At 52.1% G+C, this 7143-nt stretch overlaps 1 protein-coding gene across 4 annotated transcripts in view; it reads right to left on the bottom strand.

Annotated features, from left to right (window-relative positions):
- The window catches only part of MAGEA11 (MAGE family member A11), a 29076-nt gene continuing 22342 nt past the window's right edge, over positions 410–7143 (bottom strand). The window contains exons 4-8 of one of the 4 annotated variants that reach the window (XM_047442106.1): positions 5516–5915; positions 4423–4535; positions 3102–3197; positions 2001–2074; positions 410–1925 (exon numbers count right to left, since the gene is read on the bottom strand). In XM_047442106.1, the coding sequence (XP_047298062.1) occupies positions 902–1925; positions 2001–2074; positions 3102–3197; positions 4423–4518 (1290 nt within the window). In that variant the 5' untranslated portion in view covers positions 4519–4535; positions 5516–5915 and the 3' untranslated portion in view covers positions 410–901. The other 3 variants (NM_005366.5, XM_011531164.3, NM_001011544.2) reach the window with 3 other exon arrangements.

Raw genomic sequence — 7143 nt, 5'->3', positions numbered from 1 at the left:
GAATGGGCTCTAGATGAATTCAGGCCAACCTTGTGGTTTACCAGTGATATGATCTTGGGAAAGTTACCAAGCACCATGAGACTCAGGTTCATCCAGAAAATGGGTTTGATAGACCATTTTTTTAGGACTGTTGTAATGTATAAAATGTATTAAAACACCTGGGATGATGCCTGGCATGTACTGGATATTTAATGATTGACAGCTATTTCTAGTATTACTGTGACCCCAGGTGCTACCACTCTCTACTTTGGAATATTTTTTATTGTCCAGGACATCTCAGAGAATCTGCAACTCAGTAGGAAACTGCATTTCCTTGGTGAATATGTATGTGGGGGGAGGGGGGTGTACATGTGTGTATGGGTGTGTACTTTCATAGAACAACAGATTAATATGGATAAGAAGACAAGAATTAATGACCTTCTCCTTTTATTTCTCTGTTTCACAACACCAGTTCAGCTTTATTGTTAAGTTCTTACATTCTCCAAGAAAATACCTATTGCAAATCACAGCAAGATGGAAGATTTCCCAAAATGTTTTACAAAATGGCAAACACTTGCACTTGAAATGGATAAGCAAAACAACATGTGTGGTCAGTATCATCCATACACTTAGATGTTGAAGCTAACTAAAACTTTTATTACAGGAACAATATTTGAAAATTACCAAAGGGAAACAAAAAGAAATCTCCAAGTCACCCGATGGAAGAGAAACCTAAAGGCAGTATACAATGTGTTCCCTTCCATTCACTGTGCCTTCTACTACTGAGAACACTGACTTCTCTCATCAAACACAGAGGGAAGAATGGGCCTGATTTCACACAGGACAGGGAAACTGCTGGGTGTGGCCCTGAAGCATGCATTGGCCCATTTCCCTGCCCGCTGGCCCTGGTTGCATCTCATGCTCAGACTCCCTCTCCCTCCTCTCTCAAAGCATCTTCATACAGGGATGGGTAAGAAGTGGGATCCCTCCCATTGGCATTGGCTATGTACTCAAGAACTTTCATCTTGCTGGTCTCAGCGTGGGCCCTTGGACCCCACAGGAACTCATAGCATGCAGGATCAGTGCCGGGCACCTGCCGGTACACCAGGTACTTTTCCTGCACCCAATTTTGGGTAAGGAGCCTCTTGGGCTCCCCAAAGAGGAAGTGCTCCCTTCCAGCATACACCCCCATAATGCTCAGGACTTCCCACATAACCTCTTCAGGGATGCAGTTCCCCTCCATGAAGATTACACCCAGGACTATTATCAGGAGGCCAGACTTGGGCATGCTCTGCTCATTACACTGTATGCCATCATAAGAGAGGTTGAGGGAGGTGACAAGGACATAGGAGTGGCTAGTGGGGTCCACTTCCTTCACATCAATGCCAAAGAGCAGTTGCATGCATACAGAGGCTTCCCTAAATATCTCAGGAAAGTAGTCCTCATAATTTTTGATGACACTCCCCAGCATTTCTGCCTTTGTGATCAGCCCCTTGACTCGATACTTGCGGAGCAATAAATGAACCAAATCAATTATCTTGTCATGTAGTATATCTTGGGAAAAGGACTCAGGGTCTATCAGGTCAGGCGAGGTACTTGGCCCCTCCTTTTCTTGGCTGCCAGAGCCCTCATCAGATAGGCTCCCAAAGATGGCATCCATGGCAGTGGGAGAGAAGGACTCTTCCTGAGGACTCTGGGGAGGACTTGGTGACTCAGCAGCAGGCAACTCCTCTAGAGTGCCCACATTCAGAGTAGAGGAGAAGAAGGCAGCCTCCTGCTCCTCAGCTTGGAGAGCCTGTGCACCCACCAGGCCCAGGTCTTCTTCTTGGGCCTGAAGGCCTTCCTCAGGCTTGCAGTGCTGACTTCTTTGCTCAAGAGGCATGATGACTCTGGTTAGGTCAGCAGGCCGAACTGTGGGAAATATCTGGGTGATGGGGCCCCACAGCCTGGGGAGAGAGGGAGCGTGAGAACAGACTCAGATGAGATATGAACCATGGAGAATCTAACAAAGGCCTACTTACACTTGTTCTCCTCCAGTGATCCTCTGGGTTCTCCTGGGACTCCTGTCCTCCAGGTTGGCCTGTTCTCTAAAAACCTGAAAAAGGAAGTGAGAAGGCTGCTCAAGATGCAGCTGGACATCAGAGCAGGAGGCTCCAGGACTGAGGTAGGGCAGGTGAGGTTGCAAGCTGGGGGTCCCTTTCTGTACTGGGGCAGGTGGGGCCATTTGTAGATTAAGGGTGAACATCTCATCTTGACTACTGGCACTGCCTAGGCTTCCTGTGTTCTGAGATCTGAAGACATTGCTTGAGACCAAGGCCTCACTGCTCAGTTTTTGGAGCTTCTAGAAGAGGAATCATGGGGCCATCAGGCTGCAGACTGCAAGCACCCATCCTGGCACCCCAGCACTGTCAGAAAGGTGGGCCAAACTCTGTGAGTTTCTCACTTTTTTGGAGTGGATGGTCCCCTCTGTGCTCAGGGCCCTCACCTTTCTCCTGCCAGGGCCTGGAAGACACAGCTCTCCTGACCTGAGAAACTCTCAGATCAATAGCTCTTTCCTGATATGAAAGAGGACATGTGGGGATACACATCTGGCCACATGTACACAGGGCTACCCAGGAAGGACAGCAAGAGATGGTGACAGTCAGCAGGGTCCATGTGTCCTCGGGTAAGGAGCCTGTTTGGTTCCCATCTTGATGCCTATCTTGGCCTGGGACCCTCCCTCTGTTGACCTGACGCCATCTCCTTAAACCAAAGCTCTACCTCCAGGAGATATCAGAAGAGGAAATCAGGGAAATAGAAACACCCATGGTCCCAGGGACTTCCCATAGCTGACAGAAGGGGCAGGGAAGGGCTGAGTCCCATGTTTTTGGTAAGTGCTGTCCCGTCAGCCCCCACCTTGATTCTGGTCATGGCCTGGGACCCTCCCACTGCTGACCTAAGTGCAGCCCTCTCAGACCAATGTCTCCCGCTCCCTGAGACCAATGATCCCAGTATAAGAGAGGGGTCTCAGCACATAGTCCTGCACATGCTCTCTGGGGAGACAGCAGGGGCAGAGCAGATTTCTAAGCAGCCCTCTGTGTTCTGGCCAGGAGGAACCCTCAATCCTCCCTCAGGTTTCTCACCTGGACTCTTGGCAGATCCTGGGACCACTGTAGTTGTGGACCATATGGGGCTCTTTCTGTTGACTGGAAGTCGTCCTCTGAGAACATAGTGCTCACCTGCCCAAGATTCCAAAACAGAAGTAAGGGGCCCCACGTCCCATCACCCCATCATGTGGTTGTCCAGGGCTGACAGCAGAGGCTGGACCCTTCGGTTCTGGGGATTCCAAAGTCCTCCTGTGGGTTTTTCATCTTTACTTCTGCCAGGGCCTGTCCTTCCTTGACTCCCAACCCCTGAGATGAGCAGACATATCCCTTTACACCAAGACCTCATCTCCCTGAAGGTTTCCCAACTTTCTGCCTGTGGTACAAGTGACCTTGCCACTTGGGGCCACCCGTGATGAGGTCCCCACACAGCCAAGGACAGGGGACAGAGAGACTCTGTGGGATCCCTTCATTATGGGATGTGGGTATCTCCAGTCCTCACCAAGGGGACACATACACCTTGAGTCCTAAAGATCCTGGGACTCCTCCCTCTGCTGATCAGGTGTGGCTCCACCTGCTGACCTGTCATCACCCCCTTGAAACAAGGTGCTCACCTCCCTGAGCAAGGTGCCACCCCCAACCTCGTGGCAGAAATGTGAGCATGGCACATGCCTCCCCAACTTGGGCCTCCGAGGGATGAAAACAGAGGAAGCAAGGATTGGTGAGGTCCCTTTTTCTTTGGCATGTGGGAGGGTACATTCTTACCTTCAGTCTTCATCAATTTTCCTCTCCTTGACTACTGGCAGATCCTGGACTCCACCCTGTGCTGACCAGGTGTGTATCCCTCTGCTGACCTGAGGACCTGCCTCAGACCAAGGGCCCCACCTCTCTGAGATATGGGAGGCAGAAAGTGAAGGGGCACTACATGGACACCCCTCATGGGATGCCAAAGGCTGACAGATGAAGCAGATTTCAGGGGTGCCTCCTCTCTCTGGGTTTCCTCCAGGTATTCAGATTTACTCCTGACAAGGCCTATCCATGTCTCTCCTGCTGAACTGTGGATGAGTTTTGCAGGCCACGACCACCATCTCCCAGAGAACCCCAACTAGGAAGTGGGGAGCTGCCTCTCTTTCCTAGAGTCCTGCTTGGGGCCTCCAAGGACCGATGGCAGGGGCAGGTTTTCTACCTCAGGGATAATTGGTTGCCTGAGTCCTCCCTCTGGGACTCCTCCCTGGGTTGACCTGAGGCTCCACTCCTCAGACCACAACCCACTCCTTGCTGACACCCCAAAGGCAGAGTGAGGATGCACCACATGTGGCCACCGTGCCTTGGAACTCCAAGGGCCAAGGTCCCTACTGACCTGGAGTCCAAAGTCTCCTGAGTCCTCCCTCTTCTTCTTCCTCTTGATGCTGGCAGGGCTGCACCCCAGACCCCCTCTGCGGAACTGAGTCTCCATCCCTCAGATTCCCAAGGCTGAATGAAAAGGCACCTCAGTTTGAGACGGCGGGACTATGGGGGGGGGCTGTTCTGGGGTGCTGGGTCCCTTCAGTTGTCCCTCAGGCCTTGCTCACCTCCCAGCAGGGACTGAGCCCTGTCTGTGCTCCCCCTAGGTCTTTCTCATGATACCAAGCCCCTTCCCTCTGTCAGCCCAGGATGCGGAAATCAGGATCCACTTGCCTGGCAGCAATGCCAGGAACTTCCCAGGACTGACAGCAGAGAGGGAGCCTTGCTCTGTGGGGCCTCAGCCCTCCCTCGGGGTCCTGACCTTGATGCCTGGCAGAACCTGGGTCCTGCCCCCCCCAACCAGCCCTGCCCTGGTCACACCAAGCTCTGACCCCACAGTCCCCTGAGGCTTAAGCGGCGGGGGGCAGAAGCCGAGGGGGGTGTCAGAGGGGACGGCCCAGCCTGAGAAGTCCATCCCCATGGGGTGATCCAGGGCTGGCAGCAGAGGCGGTGCTGGATTATCTGGGGTCCTCTATCTGGGTAGGGAGCATCCTCAGTCCTCCCTCAGCATCTCATCTTGCCTCCTCACAGAGCCTGGGCCCGCTGCCCTCAGCAGGTCACAAGCCGCCCTTCAGAACCGGGCTATCACTTCTCTCTGACCCCCTAATGTGCAACTCCGCAGTACCAAGCCCGGAGGTCCTTTGCGTTGTCTGCAGGGACAAGGATGGACTTTGTGGCCCCTCTATCAGGATGGGGTGGAACCTCTCCATAATTTCTCAGAGTCCTGATGTTGATGCCTGGAAAGGCCGGGGCCCCACCCTTTATGGAACTGCCTCTGCCCGGGTCACACCATAGACTCGCAGAGTCTCCTTGGGCATTGAGGAGGGGGATTGTCTCAGCCTGATAATTTGGTCCCCTGTTGTTTCAGGGCTGGCTCCAGGGTTGGCGCTGGATTATTTGGGGCCCTCTATCTGGGTAGGAGGACTCCTCAGTCCTCCCTCAGCTCTCACCTTGCCTCCTCATGGAGCCTGGACCCGCTGCCCTCTGCCACTCTCAAGACACCCCTCAGAAAGACGCTTTCGCTTCTCTCAGATCCCAGAGGCGGAAGCCAATGGAGGTCACATCCGGCCCCCACGCCTGGAGCTTCCCTGGATTTACAGCAGGAGCGAACCCGATTCTGCCCGTGTGGGGGCGGGGCGAGGCGAGGCGGGGCGGGGCGAGGCGAGGCGGGGCGGGGCGGGGTGGGGCAGGGGGAAAAGTAGTGGCGAGGGGTGCAGATGTGGTCGAGGGTCATGGGGGTGCCTCAGTCCTCCCTCAGGTTTCTGACCTTGATTCCTTGCAGAGCCTGGAGCTCCGTCCTCTGCCAATGATGTCTGCTCCTCTCGGACCAAGTCTCTGACTCTGAGTCCCCTGAGGTGGCAGTGAGCGGGAGGTGTGAGGTCGGGGGACAACATTGCCAAGGTCTTCCGGGGCTGACAGGAGGGACCGAGCTGGATTCTGTGGCCCCTCTATGTGGGGAGGGTGGACCGTCAGTCCTCACTCAGGAGGGTCCTCCTCTTGGCTACTGGTTCTTTCATGAAGTGATGGGTGGGAGATGCTCTGTTTCTGTCACCTCTGAGCATTGCCCAACTGCACCCCTTGCAGACAATAGCTGCGGATCCCAGGCTAGGTGCTTCCATGTGGCTTCAGTACCCGTGATTGTAGTGACCTCTGGGAGAAGATGCACACCTTCCTACGGGGGCTCCTCCCCAGCCAGATCTAGACTTTGCAAACTTTTGCCCTGAAAGCTTTATTTTTACACTGAAGAGGCTGAGTGGCTGCAAGAAATTTGCGGAAGTCCTGCGTTTAGAATTTATCTAACACTTCATAGTTCATTTTAGTGATTTTCATTTTTTAATTCTCATTCAGTGTCAAAAATCATACTTAACCTAACTGCCTATTTCACTCTAATGGTCAATACTCTAATTTAATCCATTCTTTATCTTCAATTAAAACGATAATTTTTAAAAAGCCAATCTTTATTTACTGACGTGGTTTTAGTGGTTATCAGCACAAATTCCAGCCGTATTCCTTTAATCAACCAGTGTTTCCTCATGTCCTGAAGTTACCCCATGACTACTGGCACCTGTGGTCTGAGACCCTACCCGAGTTTTCCACAGTGAAGTAGGGGCAGAATTTTAAACATTTCTTTCTTCCTATCCACCCCAACTTCCCTGCCACTCTTCCCCGCCAATCACAAGTATTCCTTCAAAATACAATGAAATTCTCAGGGCTCTCTCATGTTTTTTTTGTTTAGATTTCTTTTTTGATATTGTTTGCTTGTTCCTTTATTTATTTATTTTTATTCTTTAGTTTTCCCGGGTTGTTTTGGGGAGTCTAAGATAGAAGCCCAAGACTGAACGCGGTGGTTCACACCTGTAATCCAAACACTTTGGTAGGCCAAGGCAGGAGGATCACTTGAGCCCAGTAGCTCAAGATTAATCTGAACTACATAACAAGACCCCATCTCAAAAAAAAAAGAAAGAAAGAAAAAGAAAAAGAAAAAAGAAATGAAAAATTAGCTGGGTGTGGTGGCGTGTGACTGCAGTCCCAGCTGGTAGGGAGGCTAAGGTGGGAGGATCACTGGAGCCCAGGATGT

This window comes from Homo sapiens, chromosome X (assembly GCF_000001405.40).
Source record: "Homo sapiens chromosome X, GRCh38.p14 Primary Assembly".
NCBI classification, from domain to species: Eukaryota; Metazoa; Chordata; class Mammalia; order Primates; family Hominidae; genus Homo; species Homo sapiens.
Note: the sequence above shows the minus strand (reverse complement) of the source record. Positions and strands in the feature narration are given on the sequence as shown.